Here is an 18,507-nt window from a genome sequence, read left to right on the forward strand (position 1 = left end):
AGCTCCCCAAAGTGGGGGCATAAAACAGCTTTTAGTAAAGCCACCTTCTGAGGGGACACTGAAAGAGGAAATCAACAAACCTTTTGAATGGTCTTTATGTCAACATTCATAAAATAAAACTAACTAAAATTAACTAAGTAAAATGTGATAGTCTTTTAAAATTAAAATTCTAACTAAAATATGATGGTCTTTCCTATGTCTTAGCACCATCGTTAAACATGGGAGTTTGGCCTTAGCAAATGCTCAAGTTGAGAGATAAGTGGTAAAACATCAGTGGTCTCAGTATCTAATGATACAAAACCAATACTAAATAATTAATGCTACTTTAGTAGGACTATGTTCTGGCTACTGGGACAGAGCTGTTTAATGGTCTAGGGAGACCAGAAGCTATGTTTTAGATAACAGAAACACAGGTAGTACCTTATTTGTATGTCATATTTTCCATTTCAGACTTTTTTTGTTATTCATTGTTGGGTTATAGTATGATCCTAAGATTTTAATCAGTGTTACATGTCTCTGAATAATTTGGTTTACAGTGTGTGCAAATGAAACAAAATTAAAGACCTGATATGGTTTGTCTGTGACCCCACCCGAATCTCATCTTGAATTGTAGCTCCCATAATCCCCATCTGTCATGGGAGGTAATCAGATCATAGGGGTGTGTTTTTCCCTTGATGTTCCTGTGATAGTGAATAAGTCTCATGAGATCTGATGGTTTATAAAGGGCAATTCCCCTGCACTTACTCTCTTGTCTGTAAGATGTGTTTTTGCTCCTCCTTCACCTTCCACCATAATTGTGATGCCTCCTCAGCCATACAAAACTGTGAATCCATTAAACCTCTTTTTCTTTATAAATTACTCAGTCTCTGATATTTCTTCATAGCAGTATGAAAATGGCCTAACACACTAAATTGGTATGGAAAGTGGAAAGTATCCAAAAACGTGGAAGAGACTTGGAACTGGGTAACGGGCAGAGGTTGGAACAGTTTGGAAGGCTCAGAAGAAGACAGGAAGATGTGGGAAAGTTTAGAGTTTCCCAGAGACTTGTTGAATGGTTTTGACCAAAAAGTCCAGGAGAGGCAGTCTCAGATGGAGATGAGGAACTTACTGGAAACTGGAGCAAAGGTGATTCTTGCTATGCTTTAGCAAAGAGACTGGCAGCATTTTGCCCCTGCCTTAGAGATGTGTGGAACTTCGAAGTTTAGAGAGATGATTCAAGGTATCTGGCAGAAGAAATTTCTAAGCAGTAAAGCATTCAAGAGGAGACTTTGGTGCTCTTAAAGGCATTCAGTTTTATTCATTCACAAAGATATGGTTTGGAATTGGAACTTATGTTTAAAAGGGAAGAGAGCATAAAAGTTCAGAAAATTTGCAGCCTGACAATGCAATAGAAAAGAAAAACCCATTTTCTGAGAAGAAATTCAAGCTGGCTGCAGAAATTTGCATAAGTAAGGAGCAGCCAAATGTTAGTGCCAAGACAATGGGGAAAATGTCTCCAGGGCATGTCAGAGGTCTTCACGGAAGCCCCTCCCATCACAGGCCAGGAGGCCTAGGAGTGAAAAATGGCTTCATGGGCCAGGCCTGGGGCCTTGCTGCTTTGTGCAGTTTCTGGACTTGGTGCCCTATGTCCTAGCCATGGCTGAAAGAAGTCAACATACAGCTCAGGCTGTTGTTTTAGAGGGTGCAAGCCCCAAGCCTTGGTGGCTTCCACATGGTGTTGAGCCTGTGGGTGTACAGAAGTCAAGAATTGAGGTGTGAGAACTTCCACCTAGATTTCAGAGGATGTATGGAAATGCCTTTTTCTTTATAAATTACCCAGTCTCAGGTATTTCTTCATAGCAGTATGAAAATGGATGAATACAAGACACTAACACAAACCAATAGAATATTCTGACCTTAGACAACTGGCTTTTTAATAGCATAATAATAATACTTAAAAAGCAGGAAGGCCAGTTGGTTGTAGTTAGTCTTGTTTATTCTGAGTTCTGTTTACAGGATACAAAATGCAAGAAGAATTGGACAATTATCCATCTGATTTGATCAGTGTAGACAGCCAAACCAGTTAATTCAACAGGGAAATAGAGCCCTGACTAGCTACACTGATCAAATCAAGAGAGTAACTGCCAGATCTCCCTTCATTTTATGCCGAGTAGATGCTGCCTTGGGGAATGGCTTAGATTCAAAGACTCTGACTGTTTGAAGTCCCCCTAAAGTCTGTTAATTGGGACTCTTTGGACAGTTAAAATTGTACAGCTTGGGTTGGTTGGCTAACCAGTTCTCAGACACAAAAAATTCAGCTACCTTAAAATGGCAAAAAAAAAAAAAAGAGACATTTATAAAATAATTATTATAATAGACTGATTTTGCTGTGAAAAAGGAAATAAAACAAACTTGCATTTGGAATAGTTAGTAATTCTTTCATTTGGTAAGGTAGGTGGGAAATGTAAAGATGAATTTTTCAGTTCAGAGTAGTGTTTCATGTCTGAGTCCTATAAGCACAGGGTCACATGATAATTCCTTTAGTCAGCACCAAGGTTTATTAATATTAGCAGTTAACAGAAGACTAAACAACAATTTTGGGAGCACATTCTAATTTTATCCCTAAAAATTAACATGGTAACATTTTTCAGGAACATGTCAAATTATTTTTCAAAGAAACTGTCTTCTTCATAAAATAATGAGAAGATAGAGTGAGCAGACAGTGCAGGGTAGACGTCAACAAAGTTAAAGAAAGATATCCATGGTGAATGAAACTAACAGACTTCAATGCAGGTAGTCGAAGGGCCATATGTCTGAGTTTATTACCAAGAATAGTCCATTCTAGTACAAAACACAGATTCCAGTCAAGATTGATTAGACTCTTCTTTGCATATTTGGATGTTTACACAAAACACACACACACAAACACACACACACACACACGTACTCTGTCGCACTCAATTTTATGCCCTCATTTCCCTCAATATTAATACCACCAAAACAAACACATATAGTAGTTTTTTAATTAAACTCTGTAAATCTTCATGCCTGCTAGATTATTGGGACAGAGGAATGGGTAACTTTGATATAATCTTTCTGGGATGATTTCCAATGGAGATGGTATTTCTCTGTACCTGAATAGTAAATTAGTCCCTATTACATCTCAGAAGGCTTGATCAGAACTGAATCCTCTCCCAAAAAATAGCAAAATCAAGCAACGATGTTTATTCATTTGCAGTGTAGTTGATTATCTCCTAAAGACTATGGGACTAATTCAACTTCATCTAGAATCTGAACATATTTAAGTTATTTCCAGAGATTCTCAGTGTCAAAGGGAGTAGAAGGAGAAGCAAGAAGAACTGAGAAGAAAAATGAAAGGAAGAGAAGGAATAAAGGAGGGAGGAAAGGAGGGAGGTAGTCAGGAAAAAATAGACGAAGTAAGAAAAAAAATGTTAGAGAAGGGTAACTTCTCAGAAAGGAATAAATTAACCATTCATTTCACCAAATTTTTGTTGAGCACCTATTAAAATTCAGCATTGTTTTAAGCATACAAAGCATATAAAGGATAAAATAAAGCATAATTTATACCTGCCTATATAGTATTTAATAGCTAAACATTTTCATTTCTTTAATACAACAACCCACTGAAATGATTATTATTACCATTGCCATTTCATAGATAAGAAATTTACAGCTCAGGGAAATTAAGTTACTTGAACAAAATTCCTCAACAAACTTGCTTACAAAGTTGGTAAGAAATGCATCCTGACTTCAAGGAACCCTCACAAAGAATTAACTAGCAATGAAACTAGTAACACTATGGCATTTGGAAACCTGACACTATGAATTAGTCCACTATAAGTGTGGACTTAACAGCAATAAGATTTCAGAAGCAGAAAAGATCAATAAATATTTTATGCCAAAGCCAGGGCTTGAGCACAAGCAATAGAAATGGCTGGGAATAGGATAAGCAGATAAATGGTAGAGACCATTTTGGTTAAGGGAAATACTGTGAGCAGAAGTGCTGACTAGTTCCAAATTTATAACACTGGAGGAATGATTTGCTAAAGTTTTCCGGGAGTAAACGGTAAAAGGAATAATGGGTGAAAGAGATTGTGCTTCAATATCTAGGTGATGGATAGGCATTAAAAGTTTTGAGCAGGGAATGGACATGAAGAAAATTGAGTTTGGGGGAAGGTCAATTTGGCAACAGTCTGCAATATGTATTCAAAAAAAAGAAAGAGATTAGAGGCAGAAGAATTTGTTAGGAGACTATCAGGATATGTTTCCCTAAAATAATCGAGATTGCCCTGAGGATATTTCCCTAAAATAATGGAGTTTTCCCTGTAGGCTTCCTCAAGCAGGGATGGAGGGTCAGGAAGGATAATTCAAACTGGGTAACAGCAGAAAAATTATAAAACTAGGAGTTTATTTTATGAGAATATTCTACCTATTATGTAAGAGTTTATATAAGAAATATCACATTTATAAAGGCCCTGAGAATTCATGGGTATTATGAGGGGAATCAGTGCTCATTGTTAAAATGTGTGGAAGAACTGGTGGATGAGGAAAGAATAAAAAAACTAAAGCAAGCCAGCAGTCCCAGCTACTCTAAGGTAAAAATGGGAGGATCGCCTGTGCACAGGAGTGTGGGGATAGAGTACACCATGATCACGCCTGTGAATAGCCACTGTGCTCCAGACTGGGCAAGATAGGGTGATCCTGGAAAAAAATAAAAAAGGAAAAAAGAAAAAAGGAAGGAAGGGAGGGAGGGATGGAGGGAGGGAAGGAGGAAGAGAAGGAAGGAAAGAAGGAAGGAAGAAAGGAAGGAAGGTAGGAAGGAAGGAAGGAAGGAAGGAAGGAAGGAAGGAAGGAAGGAAGGAAGGGAAAACTAACTAAAACTACAACAAAACAAAGAAAATCCCACATTTAACAGTGTAGCTAGTGACTGAGAGGCATGAGAAGAGTCTGAATGTAAAAAACCCCACAGAATGGGGAATCCTTTCACCAGAAGACTAACAGAAGGAAATAAAGGAGCATGACAGGAAGACCACAGGGAATGTGACCTGACAGACAAAACTACTGGATGATGGAGTAGGCTCTCAAGGGAAGCTGAGGACATTTCATCAGCCGGGATATTTAAGGTGAGCCTGAACAAAGCTCCAAACGGCTGCTGTGAGAGCAGCTATGCATCCGCATGAAAAGACAGGATGGTTGCACATTCTGCACATGTATCCCAGAACTTTAAGTAAAATTAAAAAAACAAAAGACAAGACAGGATGGTCATGTGGATCATTCCACCTCTAATATATTTGACTCCTCGTTGATTTAAATCGAACATGAAAATAACATTTCTCATGCTGACAGAACTTTTCATGTCTCCCAAACAATTAGAGTACTCTCAGACACATATAACCCTTTTCTCAATCCTCATAAATGCTGTTTACATGTTTAACACCTTCTCAAAGCCTTGAGCATCCCCCTATCCTTTACTGTTGACCTGGCCACCTATTCCTATATTCAGAAAAATTCCTTTCTTTCTTTCTTTCTTTCTTTCTTTCTTTCTTTCTTTCTTTCTTTCTTTCTTTCTTTCTTTCCCCCTTCCTTCCTTCCTTTCTTCTTTCTTTCTGTATTTCTTTCTTTCTTTCTTTCTTCTTTCTTTCTTTCCTCTCTCTCTCTCTCCTCACTTCCCCTCCCCTTTCTCAAACACACACACACACACACACACACACACACATATACATTCCTTACTTACTTCCTTCTAGTGACACACACTATTGGTTACTTACCCAGTCATCAATCATTTTCATGCTTATAGAATCCAAATCTTTTCAGGGGCTGGGTAGTCTGAGCCCAACACAGAGAGGACTCATGCTGCAGCCTCAGTAAGTAACTCATGGTTGATAAATGCTGGGGTCATTCAAATTATTGATCCCGTGATAGGTTTAATAGTGGACATGGGTCACAATTCTGGCCAAAGATCATTAACTGAAGTCTGTTAGGAAGTTTCTGGAAATGTTTCCTTCACTCTTCAAAAGGGCACGGTTCTAACACAAATTAAGCTATATGTAATAGGATAACCAAAATCTAACAAACCCATTAACCTCTTTTCAGTCGTTATCCAACTTGGAATCTTCTGGCTTGGAATTGCTTGCCCACTCCCTCTTTCAATGTCACTTGCTATTATTCTCTTGTTTTTTTCTGGTTCTGAATCTCGGGATCCTTTATGACATATTCCTCCTATGCTTACTCTTTATATGTTGTTGTTTGCCAGATTCCATCTTTTTCATTTATTCCCTTCTTTCTACTTTCCATGCTCTTTTTATTTTTTTAAATGATTATGATTATTATGATTATTACTTGAGACAGAGTGTTGGTCTGTTGTCCAGAATGGAGTGCAGTGGTGCAATCTTGGCTCACTGCAACTTCCACCTCCTGGGTTCAAGCGATCCTCCCACCTCAGCCTTCCAAGTAGCTGGGATTACAGGTGTGCACCAACACACCCAGCTAATTTTTGTACTTTTAGCAGAGACAGAGTCTTGCCATGTTGGCCAGGCTGGTCTCAAACTCCTCTCCTCAAATGATCTGCCCACCTTGGCCCCCCAAAGTGCTGAGGTAACAGGTGTAAGCAGCCATGCCCAGCCCTTTTCATGCTCTTTTAAGGTGATCATCTACATTTCCCTGGCTTCTACAGTGGTTATAACCTCATTCCTTCTTTCTTGAGTCCTGGATCCATACTTCTTTCTAGTTACCAGACATTTTAATGCAGATTTCATGAAAGTAACCCAGTTAATCTTTAAAATAAATCCAAATTAGGTCTTCCTATTGACATTTCCAGGTTAATTTTACAACACGAATAAACTGGAAACTCTGGACTTATTTTAGACTTCTCCTTGTCTCTCAAATCCATGCTTCTAATCAGCCAACAAATTTTATAAATTCTGGCTAAAATGTTTACTGAATCTCTCTTTACGTTTTATTAATATTAATGCTGCTTCTCCTTTGGGTGAGATGTTTATTTTCAACATGTAAAAGTGTGCCCTAAAGTAACAGGTTCAGACTCTTCAAGGTGCTGATGATGTTGCTGAGACACAATCCTATTGGAAGTTGAACAGAATCATATAACACTGATGTTATCAGGGTCTTGTTAATCTCATTCATGGTATAATCTTGAATAATTACCTTTTGCCTCAAGAGTCAGAAGTCTTCAGTATGGTAAATAGGAATTTTTACTTTGATAGCCATTTTATCCACACAGTGCTCTGAGATGATCATAGTCACATTTTCACTACTGCATTCTACAATTAATCAAGATCAGGAGGCATATGTTAACCAACAGCTGTTTTCTGTGAATAAAGTAATAAAGCACTTTTATTCATACAGCAAAATCCTCCCTTCCTGCTGGTGTACCTTTTCTACATCACAAGCCCCAAAATAACCCTTAATGACATAAGAATGTATTATCTTGTATAAACAAAAGAAAAAGTCATTAAGCGCATCTTCCTCTTATATGTTATACACATATGCCAAGAAATAATTCCAACTCTGAGTATCAGTGGTATCATCCAACGATACATTCACGGTCCTGGAAGACTAGCCTACTTTATATAGAATGTTCAAGTGACATATAAATCAATCTCACACAATGAGAAGGAGAAAATAATTCCAAGTACAATGAACGAATAGGATAACAACCCTGAAGTAGGGGTGATCTTGTTCAAAAACAGGAAGAAGGTCAGTGTGGCCACATAGCACATTATGAAGAGAGGGGTAAGGATGAAAGTTTAGGAAGGAAGACAGGAACTCCTTTACGATCTTTTGGCAAAAGTAAGAATGTGGTGTTTCAAAGTAAGGGTGTAGCAGGGGTATGGGATGACACAATTTGCCTTTTAAAGGTATTACTCTAAGCTGCTTTGTGGAGAAGAGACTGGAAGAGGGCAGCAGAGAGACAATTAGGAAATAACGTGCAAGACAAATTAGAACAGCTCAATTTAAGGTCAAAGCAGTGGAGGTAGTGGGAAGTGTTTGGATTTAGAATAACCTTTTTTTTTTTTTTAAATTACAGGCACATTTGGTGAACTGCATGGAGTTTAGAGAAGAAGATAAATCAAGGGTATTTCCTAGTTTTCAATCTCATAGTTCAAGTTTGACTGGAATTTCTTACAAAAATCTCAATTTCAATGTTTGAACTCTAATCTGTTACATTCTTTCCCAAACCAGCTCCCTTTCCTGCACTCCATTCTCCAGAACTGGCTATTCTATGGATCCATCTACTCATGTTAGAAACTTGAGATATATCTTTGACACATTTATTATCCCTGACATGTCTGTCACCATTAGCCCCCCCAAATCTAATCAATTACCAAGCCCTGTCAATCCAACTTCTAAAATATCTTGAACCTATCCACTTCTCATGTGTCTACTAAAAGCATCCTGGTCCAAACTACAACTATCTCTTTCCTGGAAATGTAGACTAATTAGTTAATTTACCTGCGTCTGATCCTCAACTGCATATGTTCATCATATAGCAACCAAAATGATCCTGTTAAAAAACAAAACTCATTTCGAATATTTTTTAAAATCCTTCAGTGGCAGCCATTTGTTCTTGAATGAGATCTAAACTCTTTTAAATGGTCTACAAGTTGTGCAAGGTCTAGCTACTGTTCACCTCTCCAGCACTACCTCATGCAACTCTGCCACCCACCCCCAATGCTCCAGTCACATGGACGTACTTCAGTGACTTAAAGCCCCATACCCCTTCCTGCCTCAAGGCATTTGTGTATACAGTCCTATCTGCCTGCCTCAACACTTCACTACTCACACTCTCCCTTAAGATCCCGGGGTAAATGTTGTTTCTACAGGGAAGAAATTGCTATTATATGTTATCCTAGCACCCTCTATTTTTCCTTTATCACACTACTAACGATGGCAGTTATCTTTGTGAACATCTGTTGAATACCAGTGTGTCTCCCAAATCACTCTAAGCCCTATGAGGAAAGAAAATGTTCCGGCTTACTTTGCTATTCAGTCATTTTCTTCTCTTCTTCTTTATTAACTGTTTCTATTAAGTGTATAACAATATCGGCTTTTAAGTAAAATTAAAGTCATTGAATATTTTTAACCAGGGAACGTTATGATCCAATGTATATATTAGAAGCCTAATTCTCCAGTTCCTCTGTGGGGAATGGCCAGGTAATCTAGAGGGGGTGTGGTGGTGAGGAAATTAGAGACAGGTGAGGAAGTAGGGAGGAATGAGTCTAGGATGGGTACGAGTGGTGATGAGTATGTGCAGGAGGAGTAAAGTGTAGGTATAAGTAGGCATGAGGAAAGATGGTTAGGCAAGATTTTTTCATGACAATCTAATCTTTCCACTAAAATCTGACCATGAAGGCAAGGAGAAAAATGAGAAAAGAGTTTAACAGGGATGTGGAATCAAGGGAGGTTATAAAGATAAAAGATGTTACATTATGTCTTCATACTTCTTAGGAATGATCCACAGAGAGGGAAAGTTTGATGGGGTAGGAGTCAAAGAGGGTAACTTAAAAAGCAAGTTCCTTAAGCAGGTGAATGTGGATGGGACCCAGAGTACAAGTGGAGGAATGGATTCCTCCATAGAGTACATGCAGCAAGCTTCCCTGTCACTGGAGGGAAGGAGAAGGTGGTTGCAAGTGAAAGTTAAATTTGGTGATAAAGAAATGAAGGCATTTGCATTTGATGTCTTCTAATGTCTCAATTAAATATAATGTGAAATCACTATTTGAGAATGAGAGAGGAAAGGTATGGAAGCTTTGAGGAGAAAAGATATAAATAGTTTTGTGATTTTTTGTTTGTTTGTTTGTTTGTTTTGTTTTGTTTTGTTCCTGAGAGTAGGAAACCTACTAGGGAAACATACTTGGAACTCCAGGCAGTGTTAACTGACTGAGGATTGTGAATATGAATTTAGAGTAAAACTTGTCAATAGATAATTTTTTTCCAGCAAGATTTTGCTGTTTTGGTGCAGGTATAGAGAAGATAGTTAACTCCATTGAGGTGGTATGTTAGAAAGTGATTACAATAGGAAGGGAGGATGACAGAGTTGAGGGCATCCATAAGGAAGATTGTATAATGATGTTATAGAAAAAAATGAAAGCAGAAAGATGTCAGTAGGGTCAATGGATTGGAAATCTGGATGAGATAAAAAAATTGCTGGAGTGAGAGAGCTTGAATAAGTAAGCAGGAGGGTTCAGGGATGATAGCGTAAGAATTGAATGTTTGATATTGATATTGAAATTTAGGGGTGGTTCAATTTCTCATGATGACAAGAAGCAGGGTATGGCAAAGAAATGGGTGAATGGGATGTAGTGGGAGAACAGTAAGTGGAAATATGCAGAGTGCAAGGTATTGGATAGATCATCCAATTGCATGTTGTGATTATGACAGCAATGATGGGACTTGGAGTCAGGAGAAGGGCTGTGAACCAGGATCAAGGTTTCAAGGAAATAAAGAAATATCCCAAGTCTGACACAGCAAAGGGGAGACAGGAGAAAGAATATAACCATATTGCATGCATGTCAAAGAAAGAAGCAGCTTTGTTTTGTTTCATTTCTATCTTGTTTTGTCTTATTTTGCTGGAGAGTAGAGGAGTAGTGGTCTGGAATTAAAGTGTACCAAGTAAGTCAAACAGACATAAATTCTGCCTTTGTGGAGCTTACAGACTAGTGAATGAGAAAGATATGAATCAAATAATTAAATAAATAAGTCTATAAATTACAAACTCTGGCAAGTGCTATGAAGAAACAGTACAGGCCACTGTGACAGCATGAAACACAGTGACCAAACTGATCTGTGGAGTGGGGGTAAGCCCTGATGATGTGATATTTGAGCAGAGATCCAAAGGATGATTGGGAGTTAGGGAGGCAAAGGATGATTGAGGCAAAAGGTAATTGAGTTTTTAGGGTAGGTATGACAGAAAAACAAAAGGTCAGGAGAATGAAGGGACATTTTGCATTGAAAGTAACAGACACGATGGATCAAGGAGAAATCCGAACCATCAGGAGAAAATGAGTTAGTCTGGAAACTAGGGCTGGCACTAGATTTAAGGAGAGGGCATATGGAAAGTAAGCACATGACAAAGCTATCAGAGAGAGGAGGTTGTATCCAGAGATTCTTCTTCAGAAGTATGAAAGTTAAAGATTTTCATAAGGTCAAAGATTTGTCCCTATGAGTGGGTTGTGTGAATGAAATCTTCAGATGGTTGAAGCTCTATTCATTAATGGTTTGGCTAAACTGTTATACTTAAAAATAATATTATAAGTCACATGCAAAAGTCTCCAATAAATCTGGATACTTAGTGTGAAATTACAGCAAATAGGTGGGAACAAAAGAAGTCTTTTATATGAGGTTGAAGGGATATATTCTGGACAAATCGTGTAAATTGCACAATATTTGAAAATTAACCTCAGTTTCACTGCATGCAAAATAGGAATAATAAGCCCTGTTCTGGATAGCTATTGTGAGGCCAGCTATAATGTGAACCATGGCAGAGTACCCAACCTCTAGGAGAAAATAAAAGATAGTAATATCAATTATCATATTAATGTTTATCAATAGAAATAGTTACTGGGTATATTATTTATTGTTTAAAGAAGGCTTCTCCTTTATTTAGCAGCCTAACAAATATAGAATTGCTACACTTATGTGTATGAGAAGAAAGAGAGCAGCACTAGGAAGAATGCCTATCATGTAGATCCTTAGTAAGTTTCAAGGACATGGGTTAAGTTACAGAAGCAGAGCTGATACTACAACAGGGGCAGGGTGGGGTAGGAAGCGTAAGGGAGAAAGAGGGCTCACAATTCTTCAATAGTGCCCCTCTGAAAAGTACAGCCCTAGGAGGCCCATCAACCAGCAAGTGTTGTCATTTCCCTGTCAAGAACTTCAAAGCTCAAAAGACTTTGCACAAAGTCACAAATAACTCAATAGCACAGATAAGACCAAAGATCCATGGTCATTGTTGCCTCCTTTACTACTGTATCTACTGGACCATAAAGTCTCTCTTGTAGTTGTTTTGTCATTGGATATGGTATCTCCATTCTTTCTAATATGAGTGGTTCAAACTGAGGTTCTTGGGTTCAGAGCCCCAGTAAACACTGCATATCATGGTATTCTTTCCTGTAAAACTCACTGATATGGTTTGGTGTTGTGTTCCCACCCAAATTTCATGTTGAATTATAATTCCCAATGTTGTGGGAGGGACCTGGTGGGAGGTGATAGTGCTGTTATTACGTTAATCAATCCGGAATCATCACTGAGAAAGTTGAAATTCGAGATCGAATACAATGTAGAGTAGAGGAGCTTCAAAACACTGGACCCTGGGGCCTCCTCAGCCAATGGATGCCATGGATTCTCCCCTTCTTAGGACCTCCAGCAGCTATAATATTGCTACTCCTCTTTGGACCCTGTATCTTTAACCTCCTTGTTAAGTTTGTCTCTTCCAGAATTGAGGCTGTAAAACTACAAAACGTTCTTCAAATGGAGCTTCAGATGCAGTCCATGACTAAGATCTACTGTAGACCCCTGGATTGGCCTGCTAGCCCATGCTCCAATGTTAATGACATCAAAGGCACCCCTCCTGAGAAAATCTCAACTGCACAACCCCTACTACGCCCCAATTCAGCAGGAAGCAGTTAGAGTAGTCGTCGGCCAACCTCCCGAACAGCACTTGGGTTTTCCTGTTGAGAGGGGGGACTGAGAGACAGGACTAGCTGGATTTCCTAGGCCGACTAAGAATCCCTAAGCCTAGCTGGGAAGGTGACTGCATCCACCTTTAAACACGGGGCTTGCAACTTAGCTCACACCCAACCAATCAGAGAGCTCACTAAAATGCTAATTAGGCAAAAACAGGAGGTAAAGAAATAGCCAATCAACTATTGCCTTAGAGCACAGAGGGAGGGACAAGGATCGGGATATAAACCCAGGCATTCGAGCCGGCAACAGGCAACCCTCTTTGGGTCCCCTCCCTTTGTGTGGAGCTCTGTTTTCACTCTATTTCACTCTATTAAATCATGCAACTGCACTCTTCTGGTCCGTGTTTGTTACGGCTCAAGCTGAGCTTTCGCTCACCGTCCACCACTGCCCACCACTGCTGTTTGCCGCCATCACAGACCCGCCACTGACTTCCATCCCTCCAGATCCGGCAGGGTGTCTGCTGTGCTCCTGATCCAGGGAGGCGCCCATTGCCACTCCTAATTGGGCTAAAGGCTTGCCATTGTTCCTGCACGGCTAAGTGCCTGGGTTCATCCTAATCAGGCTGAACACTAGTCACTGGGTTCCACGGTTCTCTTCCGTGACCCACAGCTTCTAATAGTGCTATAACACTCACTGCATGGCGCAAAATTCCATTCCTTGGAATCTGTGAGGCCGAGAACCCCAGATCAGAGACATGAGGCTTGCCACCATCTTGGAAGCCGCCCACCATCATCTTGGAAGTGGCTCGCCACAATCTTGGGAGTGGCTCGCCACCATCTTGGGAACTCTGTGAGCAAGGACCCCCCGGTAACAATAGGATCATGGGGGTGGATTTCCCCCCTGCTGTTCCCATGATAGTAAGTGAGTTCTCACAGGATCTAATGGTTTAAAAGGATGTGGCACTTCCCTCCTTGCTGTATCTCTCCCACTCCACCATGGTAAGATGTGTTTGCTTCCCCTTCACCTTCTACCATGATTGTAAGTTTCCTGAGGCCTCCTAGTCATGCTTCCTGTTAATCCTGGGAAACTGTGAGTCAATTAAGCCTCTGTTCTTCATAAATTACCCAGTCTCAGGTAGTTCTTTATAGCAGTGTGAAAGCAGACTAATACAACCAGCGTGTTGTGAGTTGAGCAAAGAGGTGGCCAAGCCATGACTTAGGATTGTAAGTACCAATCAAGAGAGATTACTGATGAGCCCAATTCTCACACATTCCTCAGCCCTGGCTCCTCTGCTGTGGCACTTGGAGCCTCATAGTCACTTTGGGGTGATCTAGCCATGGTTACAAGCCCTTGCCCCTCACCTGGAGTTTTAGAAGGCTGAACTGGTGGGGCAGCTGTTAGAGGTGACAGCTGGCTTGTAAGGTAGCACTCTCCCTCTTATTTGGAAGCACACTTTAGGCAGAGAGTAGTGATGCTCCAAAGGCAGTATTCACTCCTCCTGTCTGTAATATCCTTAGCTATTATCACAATGAGTATAGCACTTTAGGGGGTAACCCACTGATACAGTCGTGCTTGACTCTAAAATGTACAGTAATGAACTGCAGCAGCTGCAGTGCTCTAAATCAAAGATTCCTAGCACAGAGGCAAGGGAATGGGAAGGGTAGTGCCTCCTCTCTGTAAGTAGATTCTTTGCCAGGCAGCTTGCCTGCTACCTTAAAAGTAAAATCCTATTATACCTGTGAAACCCTGCTGCAAAGGGCAGAGTCAGACAACCAACACAAAGGAATGTGGGCAAATTCCTGGGATGCCAGACCACCAGGCAGAGCTTTCAGGGACAACAATTATCCCATCTGTTGAATCTCTTGAAAAACACTAAAAAAGTGCAGGTCAATGCATAAGCCCTGGGCAGTCACCACTGTTTTCTGGGCAATCCCTAAAGGCCAATCAGAATGACAAAGCCACATATATTGCAGAAGTTTTTACCTTTTTATTCCAGCTAAAGATATATGTAGATTGAAAAACAAAACCAGGTTTTTGTAGATGCAAGCAGAAGATTTTAGAAAATTACTGTGATTTCTACTACGTTTATAAGAGAGTCCCTATGCAGTAATGAACAGGGGTGATTTGGAGCCAGTAGAAAGTAAGAAAGTAAAATTACTATTATAGATGCTCTGGGAGCCCTGACTATATTAATGCAAATTCATTTTGGAGGTTGCTAAATTATTTACATAGTTGTGGAACTTGTAAACTTTCCTATCCTCCCCAAAGCATTTCCTTATTAGGGTTCCCTGAAAATCAGAGGGGTAGCAAGCAAAGAGAAGTAGGTCAGAGCTTCTGGCTACCATCCATATTTCGACAAGGTAGAACAAGGACACGTCCTGAGCAGGGTGACACAAGGAACCAGAAGGATTATAATACTCATCTTGCTTCTTCTATGCCTTCCCTTTGAAATGTTCAGTAGTCCAGACCACAGTAAAAAGGTGAGGCAGAACAGGATCCAGCTACAGAGATCATATCTCTGCCTTTAGGGAAAAGAGGAGAGAAGTAGCCAGGTGGGAGCATAGGACAAACAGAAACAGAAAACTTCTCCAAGCAGTAATCTTCCCTGCAGAACAAGGGCCATGAAATTGCTATTCTGCAGAAAAATCTATTTTCTTTTTTTAACAGAAATCATCTAACCTCAAGGTTAGAGATGAGAGCAGGAGAGAACTGTCTGTTCCTCTCTTCCTTCACCAGATTCTCATCTCAAAATTATTATTCTATCCTTCTTTTCTTCTCTCTCAATGTTTAAGCTGGTATGTTAATAACTTGTCAAGATGTCACCACTAATGGTCAGAATAAAAAGCAAATTATTACTAAGCTCTACCCTTTTTAAAGTTTCCACAAATTCACACAGAAACATGATTACTTATGCCTAAATATTTCAGATTATAAGTCAGTTGTCTACTTCAAAATAATGGCTGATTTGTAGATGGTCTTTCCTACTTTATCTCCAATGTCCTTATTGGCCCTGAGGGTTTTTCATAATTTCTACCAATTATTTCAGGTTACGTTGTTCAATCATGTCATGGGATTATATAGATTTCATGAGCAAGCATCCTGACCTTTTTCTTCAGGTAAACCCAGTCATCTTTCTGGACTCACTCTGGCTCCATCATATCTCTAGCACACGTCTTCGTAAGATGTTCTCTGTGAATGGTGTGATTCTTGGACAAGAGCTAAGATCTCATTAATTGTTCCAGTTGTTTTCCAGGATATTTTGTCACTTAATTTATATCACGGTATCGTATTTCTTAGGTGTATTAGGTTGTTTGAAGATAGATTAAAAAGTTAACTTTATTTTCCATTCCTATTTTAACAAAGCCATCACGACAAGCTTCTACCAAGTTTAGATTTTTAAATTGTGCATTCATGGTATGTTGACTACAGTGTGATGAAGCTTATTTTTAATAACACTAGGAAGATAACTTCAGGAAGTTCATATTCTGTTCTTTCATTTGTACTGAAATTGAATAATTCTCCAGCTGACTAAAATGAGAACGGCTAATTTTCTTCATGAGCAATGGACTGTAAACAACATTTTTATAAACTACTGTCTTGGATACAGAATACCATGAGTTTAAAAAATAATCAGTCTTCACTGCTGAGAAAGTGGGTCATCGTTATTTCTCTTATTTCAAACATATCATTGAGAGTGTTATTCAGTAGAGTACATCTATCTGTAGCACTGTAACCAGAGATGTGGTGCCTGCCCTCCATAAGTTTATGATGCGCTGAAGAAAAGGTGCACACAGATGATGAAGCACAAATTTCAAAATTTAGTTAGGATTATCTTGTGAGCTGAGTGGTAAATCTCAGAGACCAGTAACTCAACCAAATGGGAACTCCAGGTCTCCTAGAGCCCAGTTATACTCTCATATGGCAAATCAAACTCAAATGAAAATAAAGTCCTTAATATTTAAAAAAATAATAAATTATAAATTTTTGGATAGCATATTCACATGGTTAAAAATAAAATAATGTAAAAATATATAAATCAAGAGCTCTTATTCCCATTTCATCTCTATTTCCTCCTTTCTCACTCACTCTCTATTAGTTAGCACTTTGATTAGTTTCTTAAATATTCTTTCAAAGTTTTCTTATGCAAATGCAAGCAAACTCAAGTATTTCACTCTTTCTTACACAAAAAATAGCATACTATGGACAATTTTTGTATTTTGCTTTTTCCACTTGATAACATATGCCAGAAATCTTTAAGATCAAGATATAGAGAAATTGTTATCCTTTTTACAGCTATGTATTATTCCACTGACAATTCATGTAATGTGTGGATGTGCTGGTTTATTTCAACAAGATCTAATCTGGATTCTGAGTTATGGTTAAAAATATAATCCTGAATTTTGTTAGGTAAGGTATTTACAGCAACAACACTTCTTTGGTGTTTGAATGGTTGTGGAAAATTTGATTTTTGAGGCATAAGGAACTTTTCCTTTTATCTGGGCTCACTCAAAGTCAGCTTCAGAAAGATAATCTAGACATCTCAAGAAGTTGACACATGCTGGTCCTTTGGTTGTGTTTACAAGCAGACTACTTTTTCTCTAATCTGGTTTAATCTTGGTGTGTTGGTACATGTACACACAGACACAGTGCATGTACGCTTTCTAGCCTTTAATTTGCACATATTAAGGGGAAAGGTGATGGGTGACTGGTGATGTAGGTGGTGACAATCCCTATGAAGAATCAGGGATACCGCAGTTCTTTATTTCTCCCCAGAGCAGCTGGCATGTTGAAGTTATCAGACCATATCAGACTTAAGGGACATTAAATGTCAGGAGAGCAGACCTGCTATAGAAAGCTGATGGGAGCTGCGGGAAACTTTAGTATCAAATGTTCTCCTGTATAATAATAGGCAGCAGCATCAATCTCAGAAATGCTGCTACAAATGTCAAAGAAAACCTTCCCTGTATATAGATTAAAGTTGCAGATAAAAACAGAGGACCAAATCAAAGCCCTAGTGTTCCTTTTTTGAAACCACCCTGCCAAAAATGCAATTTCTGAGTTATCAAAAAATAGAATCTCTCAAACAGCATTCATAAAGTTTCACATTTTGGTGTTATCACAGAGGCTTATATTGAGGAAATGCTATTTCTTCCTTCCCTCCCCTTTCAAGGTTGAAGCAGCATCCTATCTTCTCTAACAATGTTAACTTCAGAACCGCAAGCTCAGAGACTATCAGCACTGTGTTTTGCAGAGCCAGAGCTCCACATACCAGTGTGTGTTTGCCATTTCCTAGGAAACCCCTCTTTTCAAAAGGATCCAGGAAATAAACTTTTAAAAATGACTTTATGAAGCCAACATTTGTGACCTCTGAATAAAATTTCATCCAGTGAAGCAATTTAGATTGCTCCCTAAGTACAATGGAGTGTCAACTGAGAAATCTCAGTGTAAAAGCCTAAACAGAATTTAGATTAATAAGGCCTGTTTTGGCTGTGACAATTCAAACATTTACCATTAAGAATTTGATCTATCAAGTAGAGGGTTAGGCTGGGAAAAACGTCTTTTTTTTTTTTTTTTTTTTTTTTGTAAGGGGAGAGACAATATTACAAAAAGAAATTTTCATCAGCTACGGTTAAGGCACACACACACATTCATATATATATGCAAATACACACATACACACATGCTTAAATAAATAAGCTGTTGCTCTACGAGGATGCCTGCTGGGATAAGGTTAGCAATTTGCCACAGAGTTCAGAGTAGGGAACGTCTGGGAAACAGAGTCAGTGACTCTATTCCTTCTACCCACTTACCTACTAAACATGACCCTGTCATGTTTCTGTGACAAGTGATGTTCAGCATAATGTC

General features: G+C 39.1%; 1 annotated feature.

The window, feature by feature from the left end:
* Positions 13,797–14,748: an enhancer, noted in NCBI's record as "OCT4-NANOG-H3K27ac-H3K4me1 hESC enhancer chr14:26730497-26731448 (GRCh37/hg19 assembly coordinates)". NCBI's record gives its function as "activates a minimal SCP1, AML or CMV promoter by ChIP-STARR-seq in naive H9 embryonic stem cells {active_cell/tissue: H9 hESC(naive)}" and the evidence as "EXISTENCE:reporter gene assay evidence [ECO:0000049][PMID:30033119]".

The sequence above is a fragment of the Homo sapiens genome, chromosome 14 (genome assembly GCF_000001405.40).
Source record: "Homo sapiens chromosome 14, GRCh38.p14 Primary Assembly".
In the NCBI taxonomy this organism is placed as follows: domain Eukaryota; kingdom Metazoa; phylum Chordata; class Mammalia; order Primates; family Hominidae; genus Homo; species Homo sapiens.